The sequence below is a fragment of the Homo sapiens genome, chromosome 1 (assembly GCF_000001405.40).
Source record: "Homo sapiens chromosome 1, GRCh38.p14 Primary Assembly".
Lineage (NCBI taxonomy): Eukaryota > Metazoa > Chordata > Mammalia > Primates > Hominidae > Homo > Homo sapiens.
Window position 1 is genome coordinate 231,408,228 of NC_000001.11, and position 18,011 is coordinate 231,426,238.

At 41.9% G+C, this 18,011-nt stretch overlaps 1 protein-coding gene across 4 annotated transcripts in view, besides 4 other annotated features; it reads right to left on the minus strand.

Moving 5' to 3' along the window:
• Positions 1–14,060, minus strand: part of EGLN1 (egl-9 family hypoxia inducible factor 1) — a 58,532-nt gene extending 44,472 nt beyond the window's left edge. For all 4 annotated transcript variants that reach the window (NM_001377261.1, NM_001377260.1, NM_022051.3 and 1 more), the window contains exon 1: positions 12,771–14,060. In NM_001377261.1, the coding sequence (NP_001364190.1) occupies positions 12,771–13,661 (891 nt within the window). In that variant the 5' untranslated portion in view covers positions 13,662–14,060. The remainder of the gene's footprint in view (positions 1–12,770) is intronic.
• Positions 12,616–12,885: an enhancer, noted in NCBI's record as "active region_2730". NCBI's record gives its function as "activates an Ori minimal core promoter by ATAC-STARR-seq in GM12878 lymphoblastoid cells {active_cell/tissue: GM12878}" and the evidence as "EXISTENCE:reporter gene assay evidence [ECO:0000049][PMID:35858748]".
• Positions 13,266–14,445: a silencer, noted in NCBI's record as "silent region_1952". NCBI's record gives its function as "represses an Ori minimal core promoter by ATAC-STARR-seq in GM12878 lymphoblastoid cells {active_cell/tissue: GM12878}" and the evidence as "EXISTENCE:reporter gene assay evidence [ECO:0000049][PMID:35858748]".
• Positions 13,266–14,525: a biological region, named in NCBI's record as "ReSE screen-validated silencer GRCh37_chr1:231558174-231558498".
• Positions 14,201–14,525: a silencer, noted in NCBI's record as "fragment chr1:231558174-231558498 (GRCh37/hg19 assembly coordinates)". NCBI's record gives its function as "represses an EF-1alpha promoter that drives an FKBP-Casp9 reporter gene in an ReSE screen in HepG2 liver carcinoma cells {active_cell/tissue: HepG2}" and the evidence as "EXISTENCE:reporter gene assay evidence [ECO:0000049][PMID:32094911]".

Genomic DNA, 18,011 nt, shown 5'->3' on the forward strand with positions numbered 1-18,011 from the left:
GTGTAGAAGATCTGCATTGCTGGGGAGGAGTGTGGGAGTGGTAAACCAGTCAAAGAATTCACAGATGTGCTGGGAGGAGGAGAAGGGGAGCAGAAGCAGGAAAACAGTCTGGCTGAAACACTGGTTGTATTTCAAAGAGCAGTAGCAAATCAGGGTGGATAAATGGTGTGGGCCTAAGCAGCTGGTGAGCATTAAATGTGTAAGAATCAAATTGTATCCTTAGCAAACCTCTGAAGATTTCTGAGTAAGATTTTTATGAGTGTTGGTAAATTTATATAGGATGCATATGGGTAGTACATGGAGAAAAATGAATTAAGGGGAAAAAAAGTGTGTAACAATCCAGATAGAAAGTGATTTTTAAAATTCTAATTAGAGCGGTGCAGTGGGAATTCAAATATAATACTTACTGAGTCCTCGACGCAAGATGCTGAGTACACCAATGTTGGAAATACAAGGGTTCTCGCCTCAAGTGGCTCACTATAGTAGAGGAAATGGGAATGGAAACCAGCCACAGTGAAGTATGCTATCACGGTGATGGGAAGTGCCAGAGGAACAGACAGGACAAAGTTGTAGCTCTGCTTAGAGAAATGAGGGCAAGAAGCAAGTTAGAGGACCTTCTCACCACTTTCCAAACGAAAGAAATGAGGAAATGCACAGCACTAGAAAATGAAGGTAGGTTCAGGGACCTGCAAACAGGTTCCTGTGGCTGGAACAGAAAGTATATGGTAGTGAAATGTTCTTTATAAAAAAGTAGCAATGGACAGAATGAACTAGAAAGATACAAAAAGAAAAAAAACAAACAAACAGGCTTTTGTAATAATCCAGGACAGCAATGAAGAGTGTAAATGGGAATGAGGAACAAGAGACTAATAGGAAATTAGTTTTAAATAAGCAAAATTTTCAAACTGATAAAGGAAAGTATGTTCTTCTAAAACATCATGCTGTTTCCAGACTTGGAGACTTTCAATAGACTTAACTCCAACTTAACCTTTAGAAGTCTTAGCCTAATTTCTTAAAAAAAAAAAAAAACAAAAAAAAACCTCTCCTGGCCTGCAGACCAAGTTAGGTCTCCTCTTGTGTGATCCCAATAGGATCCTGTACTTCCATCTCATAAACATAGCACTGGGAATTACAGGTTCAACATTGTATTTCCCTCACACAGTTAAGACTCCAGAAAGGCAGAGAGAATTACTTTGACCTGGGCACTGTGGTACCTTCAGTGCCTAACACAGATCAGACACTCAGTAAATAGCTGTTGAATAACTAAATGAAGTTCACAGGATCAATTTTAAATCTGTTCCTCCATCTCCCCCATCAGACAGGCTTACCAATCCTCATTCCTTCCAACAAGAGGAAACTTCAGTCTTAATCACATTGAGTTTGCAATACTTCCAGAAAATTCAGGTAGAAATGTCTGTCAGTCCTCTACAGATGCCAAAGTAAGAGACAGACGAAGGAATCTTTAACAAATCCTAATAGCTGAAGTCATGATTGTTGTTATTACTATTATTTGTTACAGTTACAGCTAATACTAATTGAGCACTGATTATCTGTTGAGTATTTCTTTATTTTCTCACCTGTCCTCAAATAGACCTATTGGATTAAGTACTGTTATTAACTCCTATCATACTGATGAGGAAATTAATGCTTTAGGTTAGAAAATGTGTCTAAAATCAGAGAGCAATTAAGTAGCAGAAGAGCTTCAACACAGGCAAACTAGTTTAAGAACTTGTGCTTCCATGAGCGCATAAGATAACCCAGGGGGAAAAAAAGTGTAGACTAGAGGGAAAAAAAGAGAAGACAAACCACAGATCATAAAGAATAGTAACATTTAAGGGGCAGACACTGCCAAGGAAGAACTGACGTAAGAACTGGTATTTATATTCTTGTATGATTCCTCACACATATGGAATGGAAAGTCACCTAATGACTTGCTTCTTGCAAAAGAATACAGCACAAGTGATGGGATGTCACTTCCATCATCAGATTACAAGACTGGGACTTCAGTCTTGCCAGCAGACACTATTGCCTTTTTGGCTTGCATACTTTATTGAAGAAAGCTGTCATGTTAGGGAAGCCCACGTGGCAAGAAACTGAAGCCCTCAGTCCAACAACCTGCCAAGAACTTAATGGTGCCAATAACCACTGAGTGAGGCTAGAAGCAGATCCCTCCCCATTCAAGCCTTAGAAGGAGACCACACACCCTGACCAATGTCCTGACTGCAGCCTGTGAGAAATAGTGAGGCAGAAGATGTAGCTAGACTGTGCCCAATTCCTTGTCTACAGAAAGTATGACATAACAAATGTGTGTTGTTTTAAGCTGCTAAACTTTGGAGTAATCTGTTATGTAGCAATAAATGACTACTACAAACTAAGAAGAAAAATCTAGAAATATAGATGTTCAAGTTCCTTCTACATACACATCTTCTGACAGTCATGAACAGAAAGTGAACTGAACTTTAGGAAAAAAAACTACCATTGTAAGTTGAGGAAAAAAAGAAAACTGAAAAATATAAGAAAAAACAACTGAAAGGATAAGACCCAGGCTAGTAAATGGGTAGCCAAAGATTTTAAAGGTGGGGTGGTTAATAGAGCTATTGCAGCAGTAAAAATATCTGGTCTAAGGGGTGGGGGGCGGGGAATCACTAAATTTTTTAGCTAAAAAGCAATTTTCAAGGCATCCATTTCAGAGTAGACCTAACAGAAATTGGTAGAAGACATCACACAGGTAAAATATGCCTTGAGATAGAATTAAAGGGTAATTATATAACAAAACTATAGAAGCCAAGCTCCTAGTCACCATTTATAGAGGAAAATTGGAAATATCAATATTAATAAGAAAAAATTCAGAGAGATGGTTAATATGGTTTGGCTCTGTCTCCTCACCCAAATCTCATATTGAATTATAATCCCCATTGTCAGGGGAGGGACCTGGTGGGAGGTGACTGGATCATGGTGACAGTTTCCCTCATGCTGTTCTCATGATAGTGAGTTCTCATGAGATCTTATGTTAAAAGTGTTTGACAATTCTCCCCGCCTCCTTCTGTCACGTAAGACATGCCTTGCTTCCCTTTTGCCTTCTGCCATAATTGTAAGTTTCCTGAGGCCTCCCCAGCCATGTGGAACTGTGAGTCAATTAAACTGCTTTTCTTTATAAATTACCCAGTCTCAGGTCTTCACAGCAGTGTGAAAACAGACAAACACAATGGTCAATCTTTTTATTCCCCAAACTTATGATTAGTCCTTTTCAATTTACTTCTTAGATTTGACATTTCCTATTAAGGTGTTATTACATAAAAATTAGCCTTAAACTGAATTGAGATGAGATTACAGCTTCCTGGGTTCTGGAGTTCATGTTTCATGTTTCTGGTTTTAATTTTTAAAAATTATTTCATACCTGACAATCTAATGTTTACCCATACTTTTGTGACCCTCTCTCACTTTAGAATCAAAAGCAAGGCTTCCTATGCTCAAAAGTCCTGGATAGTAGGCCGGGCACAGTGGCTCATGCCTGTAATCCCAGCACTTTGGGAGGCCTAGGTGGGCGGATCACGAGGTCAGGAGTTCAAGATCAGCCCGGCCAACATAATGAAACCCTGTCTCTACTAAACATACAAAAAAATTAGCCAGGTGTGGTGGTGGGCACCTGTAGTCCCAGCTACTCAGGAGGCTGAGGGAGGAGAATCACTTGAACCCAGAAGGCAGAGGTTGCAGGCAGAGGTTGCAGTGAACCAAGACCACGCCATTGCACTACAGCCTGGGTGACAGAGTGAGACTCCATCTCAAAAAAAAAAAAAAAAAAAAAAAAAAAAAAAAAAAAAAGGCCTGGATAGTATATTCTAATTTTAATAGTACCAGTATTATTTTATATTTGGTACTTTTATTTGCAATTCCAATGCCAGGCTCCACATCAAAGGGATGAAAGGCTCATACAACACTGATATCTTCACAGATCATCCAATACAGTCCCTAAGCTATCAGTAACTTTCTTCTTCTTCACTACTTTAGGAAGCTATCATATAGTCATGTGTATCATACAGTCATGTATTGATAAGTCAGTGGAACTATTTTTGATATTTTACGGTAATTCCATTCTTCCCAATTTTCTGTAACAGTTTTATTTTCAACAGTAGGTTTAAATGAAGATGTTTTATTTCTGACTTCATTTTGACATTGAATCTAAATCTATGCTTCCCTTATGTTGAACCATTCAATTTTCTCTAATGTTCCCCTAAAGTTCAAACTTCGTATATTTCTTTTTACGTGGATTCACAAGCCATCTTGAATGAGTGGTTCATGCAAGGAAGCACAGACATACTTATAGACAACACTAAAAGTGTTGCAAGGTTTCCTGCAATAATTCCTGAAGGCGGTTCCACTGGTAGAGCTGATACAAGCATACTGCACAGAGAAACCTTAAAACCTCTAGAGAAGAAAGGATGGGGCTAGAAGGTCAACAGTAGTAGTAGCTAGCACAGCCAATTTGAAGGAATGTGAAAATATAGAACATATAACTTTTTTCTTGTTGCTTGGCTGGGAAGTAAGTGTCAGCAAGCTATCATAAATGGCAACACTGAAAAAGTGGGGGCAAGAGAAGAAAAGCAGAAGACTTAGGTCAAAATAAAACAATAATTTCCTTCCAATCGCTCAAGCCAAAACCCTTTAAGTCATTCATGACTCTTCCATTCTTTCATACCCCACATCTAATGTATCAGCAAATCTCATTTGATTCTACTTTCAAAATATATCCAGAATATATCCTACACAAACTGATCTCATTTCCTATCCTACTACATCAATCACATATCCTTTACTCCTTCCACTAAAACCACAGTGGTTTCCTTGCTGTTTTCTGTTTCTTTTTTTGAGACAGAGTCTCACGCTGCTGCCCAGGTTGGAGTGCGGTGGCATCATCTTGGCTCACTGCAAGCTCCACCTCCTGGGTTCAAGTAATTCTCCTGCCTCAGCCTCCAGAGTAGCTGGGACTACAGGCGGATGTCATCACGCCTGGCTAATTTTTGTATTTTTAGTAGAGGTGAGGTTTCACCATGTTGGCCAGGCTGGTCTCGAACTCCTGACCTCAAGTGATCCGCCCACCTCGACCTCCCAAAGTGCCGTGCTTGCTGTTTTCTGAACACACCAAACACATTTCAAGTTAGGGCCTCTGTATTTGCTATTTAATACCATTCCTGAAAATGCTCCTCTTCCACATATCCACATAACTAATTTCCCACTTCATTCAAGTCACTATTTAAATGTCACCTTATTTTACCAATCTTATCTAAAAGAGTACTCCCTAGTCACTCTGTCCTTATCTTATTCTCCATCTTAATATTTACCACCTAACGTGCCATGTATTACTTGTACATCTGTTTATTGACTGTCCCTCCCCACCCCACACTTCCTCCAACTAGAAGATAAGGTCCATGAGAAGGGGGGCTTTTTGTTGTTATTCAGGACACCCTAGCTCCTAGAACAGGGCCTGTATGTGCAGGGTACTCAACATTTGTTGAATGAACAAATGAGTGAAAATAGTATCAAAACAGGACTCAGAAAATATAACAAAGGGTAAAGAGTACACGTATTTTGCTTTGGTAAAGAAATGGGACCTGGAACACTGAATAAGAAAAAAGAGAATTCCAAACTCATGAAAACTTTATGGGGATCTCAAGTCAACAGACACTGTCCAAGCTCTTCAGAAATGAAACTAATTCTGAATTGGTTATGGAAAAATGTGATTATGAAGTACAAAGGTGGCAGAAAAGTTGAGTTTTGACTACGAAATAAGGCATGAAATAAACTGTTGTAAGAGAAGATTTTGGTTAACCATCTATATCAATTTTTTTTTAGAAGAGATTTAGCTGAAATAAAAGGCAAAGACAAGCTCTGAAAATGGACTTAGTAAATTATCTGAATGCCATCATGTAGTCACAGACAATGTTCCAAGTGTGGAAACGAGGGCACAGTGGAAAAGAAGGTGGAATGTAAGCACAGAAGTAAAATCTAAGAAAAAGAAACTGCCCAAGAATGTGCTAGAATAAAAGGGAGACTGAAATAGTTGGGGTAGCTTTAAAGGCCTAAAGTGAAAAATTAAACAAAAACAACTAAGCTGACAACATCAATCCAAAGGCATATCAGAAAGGCACAGGCTTCAGAAAACATGGAAGAAGAACAAAGATTTCAAGCCTGATGGGAGAGAAAAGGGAAAGGAAAACAGGAGTAAACTGTCACTCAGAAACACAGAGTGGGAAGACAGCTCCTACTAAAGAAACAAGAGAGGGTAGGCCTACTTCAGGGCAAACGGCTTTAAATAGTATCAGAGGAAAGACAGATGGATAAAGAACATTTAAGAAAATTAGGTAGGAGAAAAATTTAAACTAGAATGTCAGATAAGCCAACATGTAGAATGACAGAAGCAAAAGGGAGAAGAAAGTCTCGAATGTTCAAGCATATTCTCAAAAATGGCAGAGGCCCAGTGCGATGGCTCATACCTGTAATCCCAGCACTTTTTTTTTTTTTTTTTTGAGACAGGCTCTCGCTGTCACCCAGGCTGGATGAAGTGCAGTGGTGCAATCACAGCTCACTGCAACCTCTACCTCCCAGGCTCAAGCGATCCTCCCACCTCAGCCCCTCAAGAAGCTGGGACTACAGACATGTGCCACCATGCCTGGTTAATTTTTGTATTGTTTTTAGAGATGGGTTTCACCACGTTGCCCCCTGGTCTGGAACTCCTGGGCTCAAGCAAATCCGCCCACCCTGGCCTCCCAAAGTGCTAGGATTACAGGCATGAGCCAGCACTTTGGGAGACCAAGGCAGGAGGATCATTTGAGGCCAACAGTTCTAGACCAGCCTAGACAACATAACGAGATCCCGTCTCTACAAAAAAATTTAAGAAATTATCCAGGTGTGGTGACACATGCCTGTAGTCCCAGCTACTACGGAGACTCAAGTGGGAGGATTGTTTGAGCCCAGGAGCTGGAGGCTGCAGTAAGCCATAATTGCACCACTGCACTCCAGCCTGGGCATGTTAGGCCCTGTCCTTTAAAAAAAAAAAAAAAAAAGCGTAAAATATGCCAAAATTAGTTAAGTAGAAATATGTATAAAGTTACAGATATGAATGAACTAAATCAAAGGTCTGTTGATTTTGTCACCAGCTCTATGACCTTGAAGAAGTTAATCTCTCTGGGACTTTTTTCTCTTAAAAAAATGTTATTTCTTCTCTTTTAAAAAAAAATGTGTAAATGCAGGAAAAGTGGTTAGGTAAAAAAATGGGTGATCATTCTAAGCCCTTTTTTCTCCAGTTTATCGGAGGGGAATGAGACAGGGAAAGCACAGAATTCTTAAAAGAATCAGAAAGATAGCAAATTTTTTAAATGGGAGAAGTAATAGTTAAGAACAGTTCTGCATAGCGCTTTACCATCTAAAAGGTGCTTTACATGAAACATTATATGTTCACCTCACAACAAGCCTGAGAAGCTAAAAACACAGGTATCACTGAACACCATTTTATAAACGGAGCAACTGACGACTCAAGAAATTAAGAAACTGGACTAAGGATACAGAAACCATAGCAGACCCAGGATCCAACCCAGATCTAATGGCAGAACCAAATCCATTATCTTTCTTTTTTTTTTTTTTGAGACGGAGTCTCGCTCTGTCGCCCGGGCTGGAGTGCAGTGGCACAATCCCGGCTCACTGCAATCTCTGCCTGCCGGGTTCAAGCGATTCTCCTACCTCAGCCTCCCAAGTAGCTGGGACTAAAAGGCATGCAACACTACACCCAGCTTATTTTTGTATTTTTAGTAAAGACAGGGTTTCACCATGTTGGTTGGCCAGGATGGTCTCAATCCCTCGACCTTGTGATCCACCCGCCTCAGCCTCCCAAAGTGCTGGGGTAACAGGCGTGAGCCACCGCACCTGGCCCCTTTCTTTCTTAATAATTTTTTTTTTAATAGAGATGAGGTATTGCCATGTTGCCCAGGCTGGTCTTGAATTCCTGGACTCAAGCTATCGTCCCACCTCAGCCTCCCAGAGTGTTGGGAATTACAGGGGTGAGTTACCACATCTGGCCCGGAATCCATTATCTTTCAAAGTTAAAATGATCTCTATTATCATCTCCTCCTCCTCCACGTAATTAAGGATTTGTGGGTATTTTTGTGGATTATTAGGTAGTAGATAAGTAAAGAGTTACATACATACAAAAAAAAAATTTTTTTTTTTTTTTTGAGATAGGGTTTTGTTCTATCACCTGGGCTCAAGCAATCATCCCACCTGAGACCATGGGCTCGCACCACCATGCCTGGCTAATTTTTTAATTTTTTTAGAGACAAAGTCTCACCATTTGCCCAAGCCAGTCTTGAACTCCTGGGCTCAAGCGATCCTCCTGCCTCAGCCCCTCAAAATGCTGGGATTATAGGCGTGAGCCACTAAAGCCCAGCCTAAAATAATCTTTTAACGTAAAATAAAATTCCTTTCGAACTAAAGGAGTTAGTTTACATGTAAACTACACATCAACTCACTACACAAAATGTTTTCACATATAGTTGATCACAATCTATTAAGACTACCCTCTCAGTCCACACGTCCCTTATAGCTGACAGAATTACTGCAGTTGTACTATTTTCAGCCTTTCTACATACAGAGTAACTCACTTTTAACTTAAATTCTGACATAGTTATAAAATCATTAAACAAGTAACTTCAATTTGTGTATCCTGGATCCCAAGCATACAAAGAGAATGGAAAAAGGAGATAAAGGTGTACTTATGTATTTAGGTTTAAATAACATAAGTTTATTTTCTCACAGTTCTACAAGCTGAAAGTCTGAGATCAGGATGCCAGCATGGTCTGGTACTGATGAGGGCTCTCTTCCTGGGTCAGTTTCGTTTTTAACATCTAAGAGGATTGTTCACCACATCTCTGTTAGTGATAATAAAACAGCTGCATTTTCCTCATCCTATTCTTTGCTCTAAAAGCCATAATCAGCCAGACCTAACTAATTAACTACAGTAATAGTGAAAAATCTTAGTAATATAATCTGCTGCTTATTAGTCCCAACCTATTTTATTACTCCTTTTCTTTATGTATGTTTTAACGGAACAGATGAAGTTTTGGATTAAATTCCAAAAATGTTATGTATATGATTCTAGTATTTCTATTTTAATGGGAAAATGTTTTCCTTCATAGTGGCGAAGAAACTCCAACAGAAAAGTTCAACATTTTCCCATGATCCTCACTCCTCTGCATTCCTCTTCCTCCTGTACCCCCAAGTCAAGGCACACTACTCTTCACAAAACAGCAGACCATGGTTTCTTTCTACTGCATATCATTGAGACTCTTCTTGATGAAAACAAGCATAAGCAAGGACATAGGATCAAAGGGCAGGGTAACGGCAAAAAGGAGAAAATCCCAAAAAGACCAGAGAAAGTGGAAACAGGAGCTTGGTTGTATCAGTGGCTACAATTACATTTCTGTTTTTCTCCTGTATGACTTCATTTTTCCCTTATGGTTCCTTTTTTAAAGTAGTTGCATAAACAGCGGCCAGATAAGCATGTTTGAAGTAGAAATTCAGGGGAAAACAAAGCCTACACTGAATGGGCCACAGACTATCATGTATCATCTGATTACCATGCCCTGACATAAAGAGCATGCAATATACATGATGTAAATAAAAAAGAACATCAGATTCTTAGTCAGAAAACCTGAATTTAAGTCCTAATATGCTGCAGAATTTCCAACAAGTGAACTAACTTTTCCTGAGTCCCACTTTTCTAATCTATAAAAAAAGGGATACAACCACCTGCCTACTGCTGTGAAAGTTGAAATGAGAAAAATACTACACATTTGCTGCATATAACTTTTAAAATCACTATAATGTTATGAAGGATAAAATTCTGAATTGAAGTCTCCCTCTGCAATCACATAAAAAAACCATATTCTGACATCTGTTAACAGTATACTGACAGGCGCATAATTCAGGTGGATAAATACAAAAGTGGCTTTTAAGCCACTATCTGAAATAAACATTGTACAGTCACCTAATAAAAAGTTTTACACAGCCCAACCATAGAGTATGATTACTCACATATAAAGCTAGTGCTATTCACCCACTTTCAACAAAATATATGTATCAAATTGCAGTTCCAGCAGTGTGCTAAATAATCTACATCTCATTTAATGTTCTACCTATAACTAGCGTAGTTAAAAAAGAGCATGGGTTTGATATCTGAATGACTTAAGTTTGAACACCAGCCAGGGTTATAGTAAGTGGTAGACCTCTGCCAAGTCTGAGCTGAAAATCCCTCAAATGTAAATTAGGAATAACACTACTCACTTCACAGAATTAAGATTATTGTGGCCAGGTGAGGTGGTTCAAGTCTGTAACCACAGTACTTTGGGAGGACAAGGCAGGAGGATCCCCTGAGCCGAGGAGTTCGAGATCAAATGATCAGCAAGACCCTGACTCTACAAAAAAAATTTTTTTTCATTTGGCCAAGTATGGTGGTGTGTGCCTACAGTCCCAGCTACTCGGAAGCTGAGATGGCAGGATAGCTTGAGTCCAGGAGGTGGAAGCTGCAGTGGGCCATGCTTACACCCTTGTACTCCAGCCAGGGCAACAAAGCAAGACCCTGTCTCCAAAAAAAAAAAAAAAAATACTCTGATTGTATCTGTATTGATCCTAATATGATGCCTAACACACTGTGGTTGGTTGCTCAATATACGGTGGGTGGTTATTTTGATTGCCTTCTCATTTCCACAAAGCAAACACCCTTGTTTTTTAGGAATAAATTACATGTTCAAACACGATTACCAAAACCTCTTTCAGCCAAGAAGTACAATGAAAGGAATTCCTGAATATCATTTATAGATCCTGAAGTTGCGTCCCTAAAATTAATATAAGCAGATCAAATCCAAAGAGTTTAAAGGTCATCCCTCCTTCATCCTGTCCCTTATTACCTGCTAATATGTACAGTTACGTGACTTAAAACCCCAACAACTAGAACTCTTGAGGAAGGAGGTACCTATTTCCTAATAGCATCTCTATGAGAAGCATTTGCTCTAAGAGCCAGGCTGTCTGCTGTCCCTTCTCTAAGGACAGGTGAAAGCAGGAAGACAAAAGAGAAAAGAGGTCTCAGCTTAACTTGGAAAGCTAAATTAACTAAGGAAAGCAGATCAAGAAAGATTTGGGACATCATCTTCTTCAAGAATCCAATTTAAGCTTATGTCCCAACTATATACTTTGGTCAGTCTTCACAGCCCTATTGTCTCAAACTAATTTCTTTCCTGCTCTGGAGCTCAGGACTTTATGTTCAGATGTGACAATTTCTTAAAGTTGTGCCCTGACAACTTTCTTAAAAATTTTATCAATGAAAATCTAGTGAAAGACCAACGCTGAAATTTCATCAGATCCCCCTTTTCCTTCCAGTTTAATATTATTCAACTGTTCCTTTTTAAGACTACAAGAAATTAAGACTTGTGCCTTCATCCAGCAATGAAGTGGCAATAGGTAAATTAGACTCCACATTGTATTTTTCCCCACAAAATGTTCACGTTTATAACTTTCTCACTGCCTATGTTCAGTCTTTCGGGCAGCCTGAGAATCACATGTAATGACTGTCAAAGTAGATGATCTGACACACACATACAGAAAAACCACTAGTTAGAGTCAGCGTGTGTGTACAAACATGCAACTGTGATGCTCTCCCAGGTCAATCTCTCAAAACCCACAAAATCAGAGACTGATGGTGGAGGAGGGTGGCCTGGGAGCAGCCACAAAGAAAAGATCAAGATCTGAGAAGTAAAATGAAAAAGAGCTGCAAGAGAGTTGGTTAAGGACGAAAGAGTCTACTGTTTATCATGAGGGAGGAAAGAGGGAATAGACTAGGTAAGAAGTGAAGAAATCTGTGGAGGAAAAACCGCAATAGTAAAGAGAAAACAAAAAGATCTCACCAAATTGGGAGGATAAAACGAGCCCTCCTGCGCCAATTCCGTGTTGTTGTTTTGTTTTGTTTTGTTTTCCAGGAAGTTACAAAACAGTTTTCAACAGAAGGATTACATTAACAAAGCAAATAAAGGAAACTGGTGCTAAAAATGTAGCCTACCTACACTGAGAGGCCTGAAGACGGAAATACTTCTTTCCCCTTTTTGTAACGGGTTTCAAAACAGTAGGAACAGGGTGAGGGATAAGAGCTATAACAGGGGGAGGGGAGTAGCCAAGCTCTTCCTGAATACAGAGTCTTTCGACTAAATGCTTATTTTAAATGTACCTTTTTGCGGTCAGCCGGCAAATTCCTAACTGAACACAGCGTTTGACTCTCAATCGAAATGTGATGAGTGGTTCAGACACCATAGGAAATTTAACAGCTTATGCAAACACAAGGCAGATGCAGAACCAGGACTTGCTTTGGGTGGTACTCTAACACCCCTTCACTGGGTGGCTAAAACGCCACTAAGGTTTGAATTGTGACCAATAGTGGAATGGAAAAAAGAAAATAGGAAAGTTAAAGCGCCTACGTTGAGTCAAAAAACCATGCAATTAGCCGGAGAAGTTTGTGAACGGGCAGTAAGTGGAAAACAGTGGATACAAAGGGGCTAACTAGATAAACAGCTACTACAAATTCTGTCCGTCTTCCTTACGGGGAGCTACACAAGAAAGAGCGAGTCCCTTCTATATAGAGGAATGCTGCTTCTCAGCCTAGGCAGTTTCAGTCGCAGGCAGGGGCTGCCCGCCGAGAAGGGCCTGTCCAGCACAAACCCGCAGCACACACTTACTTTCGTCCGGCCATTGATTTTGTAGCTGCCCAGCTTCCCGTTACAGTGGCGTATCAGGTCGTCCATGCTGCTCATGAGCAGCCCAATGGTTTCGCAGCCGGGCTCCTTGCCCTCGATCCAGGTGATCTTATCGCCTCGGATGTCCTTGGACGAGTCACTCTTCTGGCTGACCAGCTGCCCGTCCGTGAACTTCCCGGTGTCGTGCAGGGCGCGCACCTCGTCGCCGATCTGCTGTCCGGTCTCCTTGCCGAGGAAGTCGTCCACCACACAGATGCCGTGCTTGTTCATGCACGGCACGATGTACTCGAGCGCCAGCTTCAGCGCCGGCAGGGGCTTCGTCTGCCCGTTGGGCCGCAGGCCGCCGCCGGGGCTCAGCGCATCCCCGGGCGTGTTGCTTGGGGGGTACAGGTTCGCCTTCTCCTGGAACAGCGATGAGCGGGCCGGCGGCTCCTCCTTGCCGGGCTCGGCTTCGGCAGCCACCGCCGAGCCCTGGCCGCCGGCGGCCGCACGACACGGCGACGCGGCCGCCGCTGGGTCGGCCGGGGGCTTGGCCTTTACTTTTCCCTTGGCCGCGTCCCCGGAGGCGTTGTCCCGGCGCGCCGCTGCCTTCCTGGGCTCCCGGGCCCCGGCCCTGGGCGGCGGCACTGCAGCCGGCGGCGCGGGGCCGGAATGCTGGTGTGGGCCCACTCCGTGGCCGAGGGCGCCCTCGCTGCCCTGGCACACGAGCTTGTGCTTCTTCCAGTCCTGACGCTGGTGCTCCTTGCAGCAGTAGAAGGAGCTGCGGCAGCGGCTGCAGCGCAGCAGGTTCTCCATCTTCCCGCACAGCTCGCAGTACTGCCGGTCTCGCTCGCTCGGGCTCGGCCCGCCGGGCCCGCCGCTGTCATTGGCCATGGCGGCGGCGGCGGCGGCGACGGCGACTGCGGCGGCCGAGCAGGAGGGGTAGCGGCCGGACGGCCTCGCCCGAGGCTGGGGAGCGGGGAGAGAGATAGGGGCCGTTACTGCGCCATGCACCCGCTACCCTCGCCTCAGGGAGGCCGGCACCCCACGCCCTCGGCCCGGCCGCTTCCGAGTCCTAAGCTCCGGCGCAGCGCCGGCAGCCGCCTCAGCGCCTCATCGCCGCCGAGGGCTGAGAGAATAGGGCCTGTGCGGCGAATGGCAACCTGGGCTCAGGCGCGCGGGCCTGGGGAGCGCAAGACCGGCCCCCTCGGCCGCCGCCGCCGCCTCAGCGTCCCGGGCGGCCCGGCCCAGGCTGTGGAGGAGCGCAGGGCATACGGGCGCCACTCGCTCTGCGCGCTCTGCACGTACACCACGGCCCCGCGGCGACCCGGGCGGGCGGCGCGCGAGGGCGGAGGGGGCGGAGGGAGGGCCGGGAGGGCCGGGGGGAGGGCCGAGGGGCGGGGGCTGCCTGCGCTCCTCCGCACTCGGCGGGGCCGGGCCTCGGCTTCTGCCTCGGAGGTGGGTCGCCCGCTTTCCCTCCGCCCGGGACCGGACTGGGACGCCGAGAGGCCGGTGCGCTACCTCAGCCCGCAGCGGCCTCCTCGGGGACGCCGAGGCGCAGGCCCGCGAGCGGCGGAAAGGCGTGGGGCAGCGCGGCAGCGCCTACACCTGCTGGAGGAGGGCGCCAGCCGCAAGCGGGTAGCGGAGCGAAGGCGGCGTAATCATGGCTGCTCTTCCTCCAGGCCGGCGCGGGGTGTGCGAGGCTCGCTCCAGTCAAGGTTGCAAGGTGGCTATTGCGATCCTCATTTTGCAGAGGAGGAAACGGAAATTCAGAGAAGTAAAGTAACTTGCCCAAGGTCACGCAAAACTGGGACTGAATCCAGGAATCAGGCTCCCAGATTCCAAGGCTGTTTTTTCCATTACACCATACAGCCTCTATTTCAAGAAGCCCTGAAATGGTTAAGAACAAAATAAGTATTACTATGGTGTTAATCCAATCTCTTGCGCCCCGTTTCGACCTAGTTTAAAGGTAATGAAATTTGAGGGTTTTAAAAAAAATCAAAAACTCATTTTTAAAACCTTTGAAATCCCGCCGAGTTCAAAACCCCATGAAGAAATTTTGGGCTACCAAGTTAAATGTAATCAATGCTCATTCCAATATCCAATTTAAACTGATGGGATTATTCCTGAAAAGTGAATTTTGATGGTAAATGAGCAGTACTACATTAACGACTCTCACATTTATTTTTAATAGAATCTGTGCTGCGCGGATGAATACAATTCTTTGTTTTACAGAGCATAAAAACCTTACCAGAAATAAGCCAAAGATGTTTCTTTCTGCTGCTATTTGTCTTAAGAATTAAAAGGTCTGTGATTTCGAGTTTATCAATCTTTATCGAACACTATGTGGAAAGTGGGGTGCTAGGCTTGTGTATCACTTGAGTATACTGTAACTTCAGTCCTTGAAATATAGCCTTCCAAACTTAAAAAGTTGTAATATGTATTTCAAAAGCAGGATATAAGGAATTATTGTAAACCATATTGTAGAAGTTTAAAAAGAGGCTTGAATCCAAAAATATAAAACCTCTTCATCAAATATACAGAATTTAAAACTGTTATAAAATCCTGCTGCATGCGTAAATGGCATTCTGGGGATCCAATCAAGTGAAAGAGGATGATAATTCCAATTAGCTTGTCCTTTGGGAAACTGAGATAAATATACTCACATCTTCAAATTTCAAACCGAACTAAAAATCCAAGTTTCTGTAAAGAATTTAGACCTAGACCTGTCTTATGTGTATCCTACTTTCCCAGAGCTTTATTAAATACAGTAAAATGTCATTGTTGCAGACATTACTAATTAGGCTGTTCAACAAATGCATTGAGAGTCCTTGACAAACAAATGAATTAGTCATACTACACTCAGAGACACATAGTCCAATGCAGGAGGCAGGTATGTAAACAAGGACAATCCAGAGTTCAGAGTTTCCTAAAAGAGGGATGAATAGGATGGAATGGGAACACAGAAAAAGGAATTGCTAGCTCTGCCATTTGCACTAATAAAATCCAAGCAAATTAATTCAGAAATTCTTAAAATATAAAGGAGCTATCTCATGGCTTACGAAAATAAGCATTTAAAACATTTTTCATACACATAAATTATGTAAAATGTAATTTAAATACAAGTAGAGTCTAATACTTCTTAGGCTTCCTTTTGCTATAGTAATTATACATGAGGCTTAATTATTCACAAGAGCAGGAACTTTACTAGGAGGACTCATTCCACAAACACTTGATTCTTCCAACAATTTCTTTTAAATTTGCTATTTCAGTCTGTGGTGTGTCCACAAATTATTTACATCTCTATATGCTCTACTCATATATTTTCATTGAAGTTTACTTAAAAGAATAGATGTCCATATCAAAACCTTTATTAGCTTTCTTGTTCCAATTAAGTATACAAAATCACAAATTGAACATGTATATCCTAAATATACTTAATCCATCAAATAGAACACTTGCAACACTTTAATGAATACAACAGGAAAATATAAAATACTGATTTCAAATAGTTCCAAAGATCCTTGATTTCAGGATTTTCACCTATTCAGGCTTAATAATCTGAACTAATTCCAAATTAGTGAGTTTTCACCACACCATATGCTGGTGAACAATCTTGTCACCAACACGATTCTGGAACTCCAGTAGCATTGTCGCAGCCGCCACTTACTCAGATGTTATAGAGAGACTTCAAAATGTCATGCAAGTATTTATTTATTTATTTACTTATTTAAACTTTAACGGAAGGCAACACAAAGGAATTTATCTTATAAACACATGTGGTGCTTGCTGTTATGTGCCCAATCTGTGTTCTAAGCATTTTAAAAATATTAACCAATTTAATCATCATACAATGCTATGAAGTGGGTACTATTATTCTACCAATTTTACAGAAGGTGAAACAAATAGAGAGTGAGGCAATGAATGTCCCTCCCAATCCTTAATATTGTATGATTAGGAGCACTAGGTGGGTTAACTAATACTCTGGGGCAAACAAAGCCTTGTGTCTCTCAAAGCCATTAATTATTACAAATGTTTTTCTGCCCCTAACCTAATCAAAAGCAACTGTTCTAGAAACTGAAGAATGAATTAAAGTAACAGTGCTTTCCTCTCCATATCATACCAACTTAGACAAAGCTAATTGACCACCTATTTGGCTTCCCTTTGCTCTTCTGGCAGTATTTAGTTAAGCTATAAAGAAGTAGCCACTGTGAACTGACAAGAACTAAAAGAGGCAAAGCTTATGTTAACTACAAGAACAGAATTGAAGGAGGAAATGAATTTAGAAACGACTGTGTTGACTCTTGAGGAAAGCCCACTGAACAACAATCTGCCTTCCAAGGAGTAGCCCTATTTCTCCTTTAAAAATGTTTTTAAAAACACAACAGAGTATCTTTTCTGCTCAAGAAATCGAACATCTGATTGTTAACTAATGACCTCTTGTTTCCCCATCTGTGACAATCTTGTTTTAATAGGTTACAGAGAACAGAAAAATCACAAGTATAGCATAGGCATTCCACCAAGATAAACAGGAAGACAATCTTTGAGTTCTGGGAAAAGCAACTCAAAAATCTGAGCCATTTTCTAACTATAGTATTAGGACACACACAAGTAGGTGTCATTGGAAAACAGCACCTGCTTGTCTCTGTACTGGGGGTTCTGCCAGATGCACACGTGAGCTATGTGCTTCTCCTTGTACATGGAGACAGCTGTACTTTCCACCAAGGTTGTTCCCTTATGAAAACAAAATAATTGAATAGATTTGCTATATATTGGGGCGATTTATCAGTCATCAAACTTTATCAGTTTATGATTGAAAAATTACCACCAATCCTGTTAAAATTGATCATCTCAGAAATATAACAAAAATTTATAATCATCTCTCATTATAGCGAATTTTTTAAATAAATGCTCAAAAACCTGGGATACTAAATAACGTGTCGATCTAATTTTTTTTCCTAACAAACATTACCTTAATGTTGAACCAACTTTTGGGATAGTCACAATCAGTGACTTATACCAACCCAGGTTGGAGAAAGCTAAATAATTTTTCCTGTAACATTTTCTTGTGGGAAAAGTTAAACATATGCAAAAAGAGAGATAATAGTATAATCAACCTCAGCCCTAATGAGTTCAACAGTTATCAGCTTCAACAATTATCAACATTTGTTGATAGACAATTCTTCCCTACCCTCCTCCCTACTATGTCCCCCACTTTTTTTGCTAAAGTATTATAAAGCATAT